Source organism: Homo sapiens, chromosome 14 (assembly GCF_000001405.40).
Source record: "Homo sapiens chromosome 14, GRCh38.p14 Primary Assembly".
Lineage (NCBI taxonomy): Eukaryota > Metazoa > Chordata > Mammalia > Primates > Hominidae > Homo > Homo sapiens.
Genome location: NC_000014.9, coordinates 85,148,357 through 85,163,364, shown reverse-complemented (window position 1 = coordinate 85,163,364; position 15,008 = coordinate 85,148,357). Strand labels below are relative to the sequence as shown.

Below are 15,008 nucleotides of genomic sequence, written 5' to 3'. Positions count from 1 at the left end.
ATGGTTCCTTTTGGAGCTGATTTCCAGTTTTATTCCACTGTGGTCTGTGCTTGATATAATTTCAATTTTCTTATATTTACTGAGGCTCATTTCGTGGCCTATCATATGGTCTATCTTGGAAAGCTCCAGGTGCTGTTGAATAGAATGTGTATTCTGCGGTTGTTGGGTGGAATGTTCCGTATATATCTCTTAAGTCCATTTGTTCCAAGGTATAGTTTAAATTCATTGTTTCTTTGCTGAATTTCTGTCTGGATGACCTGTCTAGTGCTGTCAGTGGAGTATTGAAGTCCCCCACTCTTATTGTGTTGCTGTCTATCTCATTTCTTAGGTCTAGTAGTAATTTTTTTATAAATTGGGAGCTTGAGTATTAGGTGCATATATGCTTAGGATTGTGATATTTTCCTGCTGGACAAGGCCTTTTACCATTATGTAATGTTCCTCTTTGTCTTTTTTAACTGCTGTTGCTTTAAAAGTTTATTTTGTCTGATATAAGAATAGCTACCCCACCTCCCTTTTGTTGTCCATTTGCATGGAATGCCTTTTTCCATTCCTTTGCTTTCAGTTTATGTGAGTCCTTACGTATTAGGTGAGTCTCTTGACGGCAGCAGATAGTTCGTTGGTGAATTTTTTTTTCCATTCTGCAGTTCTGTCTCTTTTAGGTGGAGCATTTGGGCCATTTACATTCAATGTTAGTATTGAGATGTGAGGTACCACTCCATTCATCATTCTATTTGTTGTCTGTATACCTTGGTTTCTTATTTCTTGTTTTTGCTTTTTATTGTATTTTTGTTTTATAGGTCCTGTGAGATTTATGCTTTAAAGAGGTTCTGTTTTGATGTGTTTCCAGGATTTGTTTCAAGATTTAGAGCTCCTTCTAGCAATTCTTGAAGTGGTGGCTTGGCAATGGCAAATTCTCTGAGCATTTGTTTGTCTGAAAAAGACTGTATCTTGCCTTTATATGTGATGTTTAGTTTCACTGGATACAATATTCTTGGTTGATAATTGTTTTGTTTGAGGAGGCTGAAGATAGGGCCCCAATCCCTTCTAGCTTGTATGATTTCTGCTGAGAAACCTGCTGTTAATCTGATAGCCTTGCATTTTTAGGTTACCTGGTGCTTTTGTCTCACAGCTCTGAAGATTCTTTCCTTTGTCTTAATTATAGATAACCTGATGATAATGTGCCTAGGTGATGGTCCTTTTGTGATGAATTTTCCAGGTGTTCTTTGTGCTTCTTGTATTTGGATGTCTAGGTCTCTAGCAAGGCTGGGCAAGTTTTCCTCAATTATTTCCCCAAATATAGTTTCCAAACCTTCCTCAGGAACACAGATTATTCTTAGGCTTGGTAGTTTAACATAATCCTAGACTTCTTGGATGCTTTGTTCATATTTTCTTATTCTTTCTTCTTTGTCTTTGTTGGACTGGGTAAATTCTAAAATCTTGTTTTCAAGCTCTGAACTTCTTTCTTCTACTTGTTCAATTCTATTGCTGAAACTTTCCAGAGCATTTTGCATTTCTGTAAGTGTATCTAGTGTTTCCTGAAGTTTTGATTGTTTTTTCTTTAAACTATCTATTTCCTTGAATATTTCACCCTTCACTTCTTGTATCGTTTTTTGGATTTTCTTGCATTGGGCTTCACCTTTCTCTGGTGCCTCCCTGATTAGCTTACTAACTAACTTCCTGAATTCTTTTTCAGGTACATCAGGATTTCTTCTTGGTTTGGATCCATTGCTGGTGAGCTAGTGTGATTTTTGTGTGTGTATTAAAGAGCCTTGTTTTGTCGTATTACTAGAGTTGTTTTCTGGTTCCTTCTCATTTGGGTAGGCTCTGTCAGAGAGAAGGTGTAAGGCTGAAGGCTGTTGTTCAGATTCTTTTGTCCCATGGGCTGTTCTCTCTATGTCATACTATCTCTCTTTCCCTATGGATGTGGTTTCCTGATAGCTGAGCTGTGGAGATTGTTATCTCTCTTCTGGGTCTAGACACTCGGCAAGTCTACCAAGCTCTGGACTGGCACTGGGGGTTGTCTGCACAGAGTCCCGTGATGTGAACCATCTATGGTTCTCTCAGCCTTGGATACCAGCACCTGTTCCGGTGGAGGTGGCAGGGGGTTGAAATGGACTCTGTGAGGGTTCTTAGCTTTGGTGATTTAATGCCCTATTTTTGTGCTGGTGGTGCTTTCCAGGGAGCATCAGCTGTGGTAGTATGGAGAGGAACCAGCTGTGAGTGGGACCCTAGAACTCCCAAGAGTATATGCCCTTTGTCTTAAGCTACCAGGTTGGGTAGGGAAGGACCACTGGGTGGAGGCCGGGCTAGGTGCATCTGAGCTCAGATTCTCCTTGGGCAGGTCTCCTCTTAATTTTGATCAACTGCAATAATGTGCCACATACATCACTTCAGTGAATACCTGGGTTTCAGTATTTAACTTTTAACTATTCTTAGTTTAATATTTTGTCATCTACAATCTAGGATCTTTGAGAACTAATATTTCTTTCATATCTATCCTTCTTCTCAATGCAGTTAAAGATCATTTAGAGTTTGTTAAATTTAATTAACCTCTAACTATCTTAAGGTTAAAAGGATCATCTAACATTTAAATGAGATAGTAGACCAATGTAAAGTAAAGTAAAAAAACACAGAAAGTTTTGAAGAAAATCCAGCATACTCACAGTCTGAGATGGGAGACACATTGCATCCCAAAATATTGAGCAGAGCTAAATTTTATTTTGTAACATTTTAAAATTTGCCAATTTTAATAAATGTGGGCCAAATAAAAAAAAACTCAGATAATAAATTAAGTGAAATATATTACTTGAAAAGAATGTAAATTAAGAGTAATAAGTTGTATTTTAAAAGTTGATTTTAGATGAGATTTGAAAAATAGAATAAGAATAATAAAATAAAAAAAATCTGACAATAGTTATTCTCAATTATAAGTGTCAAATAATGGAAATAGTTTTTTACCTCTGGAAAGGAGAAGATTTTGTTTAGTTTATATCTCTTTAGAGGGTATCTACTACATATATTAGAGTGTTTTAGATACTTTGATATGAATTAACAAATGGAAGAAGGAAGACATAATCTAAAGCCATAAGAAACACAAAGAAAAGCATGGCCAATAGTTGTATTGAAAGTTTAAAGACAATTTGTATAAGATGGCCTTGGCTTGAGATGAGATCTTTAGGGCTTCTATTAGGTTTATAGGATGATATTCTATAAAACTGTATACAAATAGAATTTACAATTAAATTAAAATAATTACAATATTTCACCACCAAAGCAATTCACATTTCTAATCTTATTTTATCCTATGATTATCTGTTGTATAAAAGCAATTTGTATCAAGTCCACTTTGCAATGGAGAAACTGAATTTGCACCATGAATAAGTGGTAAGATTAAACATAAAACATGTTGATCTTGGCATGGGTTATAAACAATAAACTTCTCCTTGGACTGTGACCACTGAAAGAAAAATCACTTAAGCAGGATTTTACTATTTGACCTGAGGTCATCTTACTTGAACATTTACATTTCTTTGTAAGTAATAATGAGGCTACTTGAATTATTTCTTTGAAACTTAATTTTCTTTAGTGAAATATTAAAGGCAAGTGGCTGAAGAAAACAAGCAGATAATTGTATAATAAGCATGAAAAGATGCTAAGCTTTTTGTGATCAGGTCAATCCAAATTATAATAATAAAATACAAATTACACCCATCAGATTGCCAAAAATTAAAGGATTTATAAAATCCAATTTTTGCGAACATGTCTTTCCATCATTTTTAGGGGAAACATAATGGCTACAAAACTTTTCAGGAGTAATCAAAACTTAAATACGCCTCTTTTCACTTAGTAATTTCTTTCTAAAAATTTATAACTTAAAAATACTTACTGAAGTGTTTAAGGATATGTACGTGTGTTTGTATTGTATATGTGTATATATATATGTGTGTATATATGTATGTGTATATATATATGAATGATTTAGTGTACATATCAGTATGATTTTAAATAGAAATCAATTGGAGAAAATGTGGAAAACAGTTTTAATTTACTCTTGAATATTAAATAGCCATTAATAATAACTACAGGGATTTATGTACTACCTTAGTGAATTCAGATTGTTAAATATAAAAAGTAAGTTACACTAAATATATATAATATGACCTAATTTCCTATTTTGTAAATTAATAATATAGAAAGAGTATACTTTGTATATACAAAGTGTAAAAACATATATGTGTATGTGTATATATATCACAAGAGTAAAACTATATCTACATATTATAAATACATTTTATATAAAGATTTTTAATCGTGATATATATACACATACACACATATTTTTTAATACTTTGTATATATAAGGCATACTCTATATTATTAATTTACAAAATAGGAAATTAGGTCATATTATACATATTTTGTGCAACTTTTTATATTTAGCAATCTGAATTCACTAAGGTGTACAAAAAGGCCTCTGGTTATTATTAATGACCATTAAATATTTATATTTAATATTTATATACTCTTGTGATATATATATTACAAGAATAAAAATCTGGGACTGAGGAGAGAGAGTGGTAAAAATCCACTTGGATGAAACAGAGAAAAGCAGCCCTGCTGTTACATCAGGCTGGCTGGAAGGACAGGTGCATATAGAATCTGCTGCCAAGTTGCCAGGAAGCATTGTTTCTCCTAAGATCATGCAGCCTTGGCATTCATGTGGAAAATGCCACAATGACTCCTCTTTGAGTGTCCATTGATTCCTTCTCGTGATGCCCTCAGACCTGCCTGATGACCTTCTAGTGAGGAGTCCCAGTGGCAAACTCATCTGGCCTCTCGATAGCTTCTAGTATCTGGTAAATCCCACTTCTAACCTTGTCTCAGAGACAGCAATCAGTCTAGAACCGATAGCAGCGTCCTTTAGAGCCTTCTGAGTATTGGTCAGTGGGAGCCCAGGTTGATGGCTAGAGGCTTCCCTCTCCCCCTCTGGTCACATGGCAAATCATGGCTCCTCCAGAGTGTCTGCCCTCGATGCTTTCAGTCAAGAAATTTGATTTTCTCAGAACGCTAGTTTATTGCTGGTGGTTTTTGGCCAATTCCGTTTTAACAACATGTGCATATACGTGTACGGATTAGTGTATGTAGGTATGTATCTACCTATATACCTACTTATCTATTATCCTGTTGGGTAAAGCAGAAAAAATTCTAAGGCACAAATCACATTTAAGCAGTTGTTACTCTGCCATATGTGAGTAGAAATGGAGTGAGGAGAACTTTTAGTGATAAATTAAAGTTTCAAATTATAGTGCTTACAAGGACTATGTATTATTGGGGTTTTTGGGTTTTTTTTTTTGCTTTTTTAGGGAGGAAATAAATGAATTTTAAAAATTAATGTATCTCAGCAACATCTCTCTCTTTCTACACACACACACACACACACACACACCCCCCCCACACACTTACATACCTCTTTCTGGAAAGCTGAGCATATTGAGTTCAGATCCTTGAAATTAGACGTAGGAAGTTATTCCTTTAATTGTTTTCAATAATTAAAATAAATTTTAATTTAATTTAAATTTGAAATGTATTTTTTCTCAAAGGAAAACTATTAAAATGAGCAATAAAAGATTATATATTTGTAACATATAAGTAATTTTCATTGCTTTTGCATATACATATTTTGTCTATATATAACACTGTATTATATACTTTCAATGCTTGATATCTATATTTGCATCTATCTATACCCTTACCTATATCTACATTTAACAGTTGGCTGCTTAAAGTGAACTGGAACTGAGAATCAGAGTGAAAGTTTACTTCACAAGGATTCATTTAAACTACTTGCAAGGTGTGGTTCTCCCACACATATCTGGCAAGAAAGAGCATGTGGATTAAAAGGAGAATGAAGCAGTGGATAGGTAATGGGCCAGCTTTAGTCTTAATTAGCTTCCATTGCTGTTGCTGTTTCTCTAAAAGGAACACAGATGGAAATGTAATTAATGCATAAACTAATTAGTGATCTCATTTGCCAATTGTACATGATGAATAAACAGATTACAGAAAATACTCAGCAGGTTGAAGCAAGGTGAGGCCAGGAGGGTGAGAGGAAGAGATACTTATGGTTGGATTGGCAATAAACCATAAAACAAATTATGCATTTTCTTGCATATAATTTTACCAGGGAGGAAAAAGAAAGAAAGGAATCACACTTGTTGTTTTATTTTTTAAAAATAAACATGTAACCAAGGGCACTATACTACCTCAGAAGTTTGATTTAGTACAAATAATTGTTATGCCAAAATGCAATTTTTAAAGGAATTCATAAATATATCAAAATAAAAACATCTACTGACTTTTTGTAGAATGGCAAATTTTCAACACTAATAGTTATTGTAAAATTCCCAGCACTTTGGGAGGCCAAGGCGGGCAGATCATCTGAGGTCAGGATAGTTTGAGACTAGCCTGGCCAACATGATGAAACCCTGTCTCTACTAAAAATAAAAAAATTATCTGGGCATAGTGGCCTGGCTACTTGGGAGGCTGAGGCAGGAGAATCCCTTGAACCCAGGAGGTGGAGGTTTCAATGAGCCGAGGTCACACCACTACACTCCAGCCTGGGTGGCAGAGCAAAAATCCTTCCAAAAAAAAGTATAATTTTTAAAGTTATGTCTTGTCTTTGGAATCTTTTAGTCTGAATTCATTTTCATCAAAATAATATGTACTGCATAATTATTGCATACAAGTCAGTGTTCAATGCTGTGAATGGGATTTCCCTGAACTTCACTAACAAAGTTGCAGAAAATGAAAGATGAAAGTCATGGTGTGGAGTAAATGTCCATCATCTGCTGAAAACCACCTTCCCCTGAATATCTACTGCAGAGAGCTTAGCTCAGCAGCTAATGAGAACAGTTTAGAAACATGGTGGGGAAAAGTCAAGATAATGAATAACTGAAAGATAGTGCTTCCAATAAGGTGCACACCAGTAAATAAGGATATTAGTGAATGAGATGATTTCAGACATTTTGCTGTCAGTCCTCCATCTTATTTCTCATTTTAGGGATTCCTAGCAACATGAAGCCGGTAACCTGGATATTGAATACTATTAATACTAGATAGAAGTTGGGGCCAAACCACATTGATTTCCAGGCCCATGACTTTTCCACTGACAGAAAGTATCAGAGTGAGTTCACCTTTATAATCTGGTCCAATCGTAATCTTAAACTACCCTATTTGGTTTGTAGAGTAAATGTTACTGTACTCATTTACAAATGAGGAAACTGAGACCACAAATAAAGATTGCTGTGGCGGATCTGGAACCATAACTCGGATGTTTAAACTTCTTCTTTGGGTATCTAACGACATATCAGAATAAGAGGTCATTTTGTCAGATTGAGGAAGGATTACAAACTGTAAATTAAAAATTTTAAAGTTCCACATCTGGGTCCAAGTTAATTAATGTCAGCCGTTCTATTTCATAACAGCAGAAACAATGGCAAACATATGTACATGCACACCATGTATAGAATGCACAGTTCAAAAGTATACCTCATTTAAACTTTAATAATAGCAATGCAATTAGTTAACATTTGTTAGGCTCCTAAAATGGGACAATAAATACATGAACCATTTAATATGCATTATATGTTTTAATCCTGACAACAACTACATGGCTGTTATCTTTTGTACTTCACAGGTGAGGAAACTGAAGCTCAGAGAGTTTAAATTTGTCCAAATTTATGTAATTAATAAAGAACTGCCTGTCTAATTCTGAACTAATAAAATTAACCACTATTGGCTGAGTGTAGTGGCTCACGCCTATAATCCCAGCATTTTGGGAGGCCAAGGAGGGTGGATCACCTGAGGTCAGGAGTTCGAGACCAGCCTGACCAACATGGCAAAACCCCATCTCTACTAAAAATACAAAAATTAGCCAGGCGTGGTGGCGCATGCCTGCAATACCAGCTACTCGGGAGGCTGAGGCAGGAGAATCACTTGAACCTGGGAGGCAGACATTGCAGTGAGCTGCTGAGATAATGCCATTGTACTCCAGCCTGGGCAACAAGAGAGAAACTCCATCTCAAAAAAAAAAAAAAAAATTAACCACTATTCTATGATTCTATGGTACTTCTCCACAGGAAAGCACTGAACATTATTGATATATTTAAATCTATAATAGAGACCTTCATATGGACCCTGAGGGAAACTTTAGAATGAGGTTCTAGTACGATAGTTGGCTACTTTCCTTGGGGCAACAAGGAGATCAACAAACAAAAATACTCAACAATGAAACAATACTCAGCAATGAAAACAAATGGATATTCTATCAATTTAGCCGTGAAATTCTATTCTACTTTGCTCAAAGCACTTTGGAGATGCAAATATTGCTCCGGATGAGAATTCTGTGGTCAATGAGTTTCTGTTTTGTTCATGGGGTTGAAGATGTAACAGGTGTGGTCACAAGCCACCTATATTGTCTTTATGTGGGTATGTTCCAGTTTACCACACTTGCAAATTTGGAGATTGGTGTTTATAGCTTAGGGCTCGTGGAGATTTTTGTCAAGGTGATGCTGTTTCAGAAAACAGTAATTGTAAATGCACTGAAATAAATGCATTGTTTCATTTTTAATATCTTTAATAACAAACATTTCTCTTCAGACCAGTCTTTGGTTTTCGTTTTTATATCTTTAAACCCCACTACACTTCCCTCATTTCCTTCCACATTCTTCTATGCATTTTACCGTGAGAAAGTTGAATCAGAGACAGGCAAGTTTAGCCTTACGTGAAACTTCTCACTTAATAGAGGTCAGAACAAAACAAGACATTTTTCTCTAGATTTTCATGAGAGGACTGCAGGACTTTCTGGGGAATATCTCTTGAAAGGCCAAACCAGATGTAGTAAAATGTCTTCTATCCAGAGCTAAAACCTTTTCTCCTAAAGCCTCTTAAAATTTAATAGCAGAAATATATCATATTAACATGCAAACTACTACATTAAAGTAACATTACGGTTCTTGACTTAACATCCACCATGATTTAGTAAGTTCTGGGAAGGAGTTTCTATTCTTGGTTTGAGCATCAGCTTGCAGTATGTAGGGTTTACCAAAGTGGACATTCCGCATGGGAAATAATTTATATCCACCAATAGGCACTGACAGGTTAGGTCCAACAAGGTTATGTATTATATGTTTCAACAATTGTCAAAAATATTTATTGAGACCCCATTGTGTGCAGATCTGTGAACGTCATGCTCTGTGGGGGCACACAAAACAAAATAAATGATGGGGACCTTTACCCTCAACAAACTTAAGAGTTTTTAGAAGGGACTCATAAATCAAGTTGAAGATTATATTAGATGACTTTTAACATTTTTTCCAACCCTAAATCTCTAATAATCTTCTATAGTTTCCTCCATTTATGTATTCTAATTTAATTTCACCTAGCCAAAAAAAAGATGATTTGATATGGTTTGTCCTAAGGACTTATTTAGTCTAGCAGACTAAAAAGTAAGTAGGTGATTGTAACAGGAAGTTGAAACAAGATAGTTACCTCAGTTGGGCATTAAATTAGATGTACTTTTATTTATGGCAGTAATATCTGAAAGTCTTAACATTCTCTACACTGAGGGCAGGAGGAAGAAAAAAAAAGGAGCTTTCTGAGACTTTCTCACTAAAGCCCAACTTGGTTATTGTTTTGAGAAATATAGTTGAGAAACTTATGCCATTCTGTGCAATTTGATTGTGACTTAAATCAGGAAAGAAAAATGTTTTCTACAAGTAAAAAAGTTTTGTAAGCATGTTAATACTGGAGGGAAGAATAGAAACATGTTTATAACGACTTGTGACTCTAGATTTTTGTCATTTGTGTGACAAGATGCAGAACGACAGTTGGGCTAAACAGCAAAGGTTAGAATGGAGAATATTTCTTCTTAAAAGTTTTAAAATTTGTATTATTTTTAATTATTATGGCTACATAATAGTTGTATATACTCATGGTGTACATGTGATATTTTGATACAAGCACACAATGTGTAAGGATCAAATTAGGGTAATTGGAGTATCCATAACCTCAAGCATTTATCACGTCTTTGTGTTAGGAACATTTCAATTTCACTGTTTGAGTTATTTTGAAATATACAATAAACTATATTATTATAGATCTATAGATAGATAGATAGATGGATTGATTGATTGATTGATTAACTATACAGTCACTCTATTTTGCTACGAAACACTAGATCTTTTTTTTGAGACAGAGTCTCACTCTTGTCACCCAGGCTGGAGTGCAGTGCACGATCTCAGCTCACTGCAACCTCCGCCTCCGGGGTTCAAGCGATTCTCCTGTCTCAGCCTCCTGAGTAGCTGGGATTACAGGCACCCACCACCACACCCGGCTAATATTTTTTTGTGCTTTTAGTAGAGACGGGGTTTCGCCATGTTGGCCAGGCTGGTCTCAAACACCTGACCTCAGGTGATCCACTTGCCTCGGCCTCCCAAAGTGCTGGGATTACAGGTGTGAGCCACTGTGCCTGGTCAAGATTTCACTCTTTTTTTTTGTGGCTGAATAATGTTCCATTGTATATATGTAACATGTTTTATTTATCCATCTATCTAGGTGTTGCAATCAACATGGAAGTGTATGTGTCTCTTTGACATCCTGATTTTCTTTCTTTTTTATATATACCCAGATGTAGAATTGCTGGGTCATTTGGTGGTTCTATTTTTAGTTATTTTAAGGAACCTCTATATTGTTCTCCATAGTGGCTTTACTAATTCATATTCTCAAAAACAGGGTAGGAGGGTTCCCCTTTCTCCACATCTTTGCCAACATCCATTATTACATTTCTTGGATAAAATTCATTTTAACTGGGGTGAGATTATATCTCATTATGGCTTTTATTTGCATTTCTTTGATGATTAGTGATGTTAAACATTTTTTTTCATATACCTGTTGGACATTTGTGTGTCATCTTTTGAGGAACAGTTCTGGATATACCAAACCAGAAGTAGTAAAATGTCTTTTACCCAGTTAAAAACCTTTCCTTAGAAATTGTATTTGCCTGGGAAATACACTGTTTTACCTCAATTGTTTGCTACACATCAATATGCTAAGCAAGATTTATAAAGAGACTTTTTTTAGTCTTTGAATAATGTTGAGAAAACAAACATTTTCCATATTAAGAACTATCATCATAATTTTTTTTATGGAGTTGGTTTTCTTTTTTCTTTCTTTTTTTTTTGGCTGCGGGGAGGATGGAGTTTCGCTCTTGTTGCCCAGGCTGGAGTGCAATGGCACGATCTGGGCTCACTGCAACCTCCACCTCCTGGGTTCTAGCGATTCTCCTGCCTCAGCATCCCGAGTAGCTGGGATTACAGGCATGCACCACCACGCTCAGCTAATTTTTGTGTTTTTAGTAGAGACAGGGTTTCATCATGTTGGTCAGGCTGGTCTCAAACTCCCGACCTTAGATGACCCGCCCGCCTCGGCCTCCCAAAGTGCTGGGATCACAGGTGTGAGCCACCATGCCCGGCCATGGAGTTGGTTTTCTAAGGGGAAGATAGAGGTTCTTGCAGGGGGAGAAGGAAGTAAAGATACTCCCTGTCCACCCATTGTGGCATCATCTCTTTCAGATCATTCTCTTGATAGACAAAGAGAAGTATTTCAATCCTTCAGAGTAGACACTTTCTTGGCATTGAATTCTACACACAATTTATAGATGGACATTAACTAAAGGTACTTTGAGGGACATAATAGAAAATGTCTTCAACAGAGATTTTGCAGAAGATATAAATGTATTTTTCATATGGCTGCTTTTGTGTTTTGGTGAGCCTCAAAAAGTGCTAAAGCTGAGAGAGCAAATTGCAGTTCAGCTAAAGAATATCTGTGCATTGCTTTTAGGTCTGGAAGAAAGTTCAGAAAGCCCAGATAAATGATTCCTATTAAGTCCAATAATCTGCAAGAATATATTGGGTCAATATTTTTTAATTGTAAAAGAAAGAAAAAAACTGATTTTGTGAGCAGAGTACTGCTAGGTGTCCGGTATAATGGGTAAGATATTTTCTAATCCACCTTATTAGATCTCATTTCATCAACAGATCAATCTGAGGAAAGTTCCACACTTTTCCTCTTTCAGACACGGTTACAGGTTCAGAGAAAATAAGTGACTCAGCCAAGATCATATCACGTATAATACCTATGTCAGAGTTTGAACTCAAACCCACATGGCTTTAAAATCCAGACACTTCCTGCTACAGAGTGTTGATTTCATGATGACAAAGTGTTTTTTTTTTTTTAATTTCAGCTCTCCTATAACAAATGCCTTTACATGTAATTCAGGTTATATTTATTTTACTCCCTCATCATAAATTGTAATCCTTTTGGAGAATAGATTGTATGTTATTCTCGTGTTTCCTTCCTTTACAATTTCTGCCCCAGTAATGTGCGTATATAATAAAGCCCCTCTTCGTTTGAAGAATTTGCCCTCTTTGCCAACTTAAGAAAATCTAGATGTGATTTTTCTAAGATAGACTTGTTAACATCTATTTGTTGAAAACAATTTTACACAGATAAATTGTACCGGAGCAATTATAAATCAATATGTCAACCAGTTTAAATTTAAAGCAGTTGAATTAGTTACTTTAGTGCTGAAGGAAGAACTTCATGAAATAAATACAGTACATGGCAGGTTTTGGAAAAGTAGATGAGAATGGATTGCTGGGGAATGTGGGAATTCAATGTGTTTACTTCAGATTCAGCTCTGAAATTATGGGAGGACTGATTTATGTTTTTTAAAAAAGCAGGAACCGTCTACCGAGCTCACTTTGACAATTAGGAGAGATGTACCACCATTAAAGATGGTAACAACAGTTACTACTTACTGAATACCTCCTGTGTTTCAGAGGCTATGGTGCGCCCTTTGAAAATCCATTTTCACTTATCCCTCAAGACAACACAAGAAGTTGATACTTTGTCCTCATTTACAGAAAAAAATTAGGGTTAAAGGCTACATTTTTTCTGTCAAGAGTGTACTCGTTAATAAATGGCAGAACATACTTTAGAACTAGGTCTGTGTGACTTCAAGCTTTTATCTTAGAAGGCAATGAACACTGTGAATGAGAATCCTGGTTCTGTAGCAGAGTGCCTGGATTTGAATTTTAGCACCATTTGTACAAGAAATGTGACCTTGTCCAAGTTACTCCAACTGTCCAAGTTTTAGCTTTCTTATTTTGGGAAGATAAAACGTGATTTAATATATGTTACATGCTACTTAACACAAATTAAATGATCAATAAATACTACCTGTTTTAACAATGATGTCGACAATAAAATTGATGATGATTGTGATGAATTTATAAGCTATATATTTGTATTTATTTTCCTAGCATAAAGTTCCCTTTGCATAGAACAAGGCTGAGTACACAGTGTATGCTCAATAGATGTTTGCTAAATGAGTACTGAGAAGGTTTAAGAAAGTTAAGAATCTCATTCGTATTTTATTCTCACCTCTCTAGACAATCATGCCTGTAATCTGGAAATATGCCTATAAACTAATTTGGGGTAGAAGTCCCATAAATGCTATTGTCTACGTTTTGAAGGAAACTTTTCAAGATGGTGTAGAATTTGGATAATTTCACATCTTGAATATGGTGCCTCACCTTGGCTGGCAGCACAGAATTTTCTTTAATTTATATAAGAAAAAAATAGAAAAGTAGTTTATTTGGTTTTATGGATAAACTTTCCTTCAGAAATTTAGTTGGAAAGAAGAGAAGGGTACTGGGGAGGTGAGATACAGAGAAAAGTGAAATCATTTATAGAATTTTTTCAGAAAGTTCATTTCAGAAAGAATTGTTGTCTTTTTTATTCATTCTTGAGCATTGGTAATAACTTTTCTTAATTTATGTAACTTCATTAAAAACACAAGCTTCATAGTTCTTTTAGGTAGACTTTGAATTTTGTTTTGACAATGAAAGCAATGAAGAAGTTCAAGGTAAAGTCAGAGCATTTTTGCCAGGTATACTTACATGTTTAAGATTAAACATTCTGCTTCTAATGCTGAAGGGATTTTAAAACGACCTCACAGACTGACCCTTGACTAATTGCAGTGCTAACAGGGAACTCTTATAAAGTAGATAACAAATGGCTGTCTGCTGGGAATAAGGACAGTTTTTTAAATATGTGGGTTGCTCTTGGTATCATTCCTTGTTTCCCTGAAGAGTTCTCCAGATGTCTAAATGCTGTGTAAATTTGCTTAATGACAATTTTAGTAGACAAATCTATGTTTTTCTTATTTCCTTTTTTTCTTCCCCTATTATCTCCCCCCCGCTTTCTCATCTTACCCCTCCCCTCTATCTCCCTTCTTCCCTCTTTCTAAAAATAATAAAAACTAATGAGCCCTTACTTTTTCCAAGACACCACAGGTTTTGAGTAAATGAAGATCAGGATCACATAGTGCTGTTCTCATTGGCTTTATTCCCTGGACAAGAAGGCAGACAGTTAAGCAAGAGGAAGAAAGGAAATACCCTTCTCTGCCTAAAAGAGGGGGAAAAAAAAGGCGATTCTAGAGGAAAACAGCATTCCAGGGAGAGACAGGAGACAAGAAAAATCAGCTTACCTGTTGACAGAAATGCAAGACACTTTGCCATAAGTAATTGCAGAAACCCGAAAAGTCGAACAAAATTACTATTTCTTTACATTGTGTTTTATAGTTTTACTTTGTTTCTGTGATCATGTAGTGACTCAAGTGGTACATAATACAATCGCAGTATGTTCTCTTTTTTAACCTCTGTCCTCATATTATTTAAACTCTCCATGTTTTTTGACATAGTGATCACTACCTCCTTTAAATACTTTCAAAATTGACTTACAGGGCAACACACTCTCCTGTTTTCATGCTACCTGACTGTGTTCATCAAGGTTCTCCAGAGAAACAAAACTAAAATAGATTTATTCTAGGAATTGTTTCTGACAACTATGGAAGCTGAGAAGCTGTGTGATCTGCCATCCGCAAG

At 35.5% G+C, this 15,008-nt stretch overlaps 1 long non-coding RNA gene across 1 annotated transcript in view; it reads left to right on the top strand.

The window, feature by feature from the left end:
* Positions 1 to 14,720, top strand: part of LOC105370604 (uncharacterized) — a 46,058-nt gene extending 31,338 nt beyond the window's left edge. The window contains exon 4 of the long non-coding RNA XR_944102.1: positions 14,409 to 14,720. This is a non-coding gene — a long non-coding RNA (uncharacterized LOC105370604). The remainder of the gene's footprint in view (positions 1 to 14,408) is intronic.
* The last annotated feature ends 288 nt before the right edge of the window (positions 14,721 to 15,008 follow it).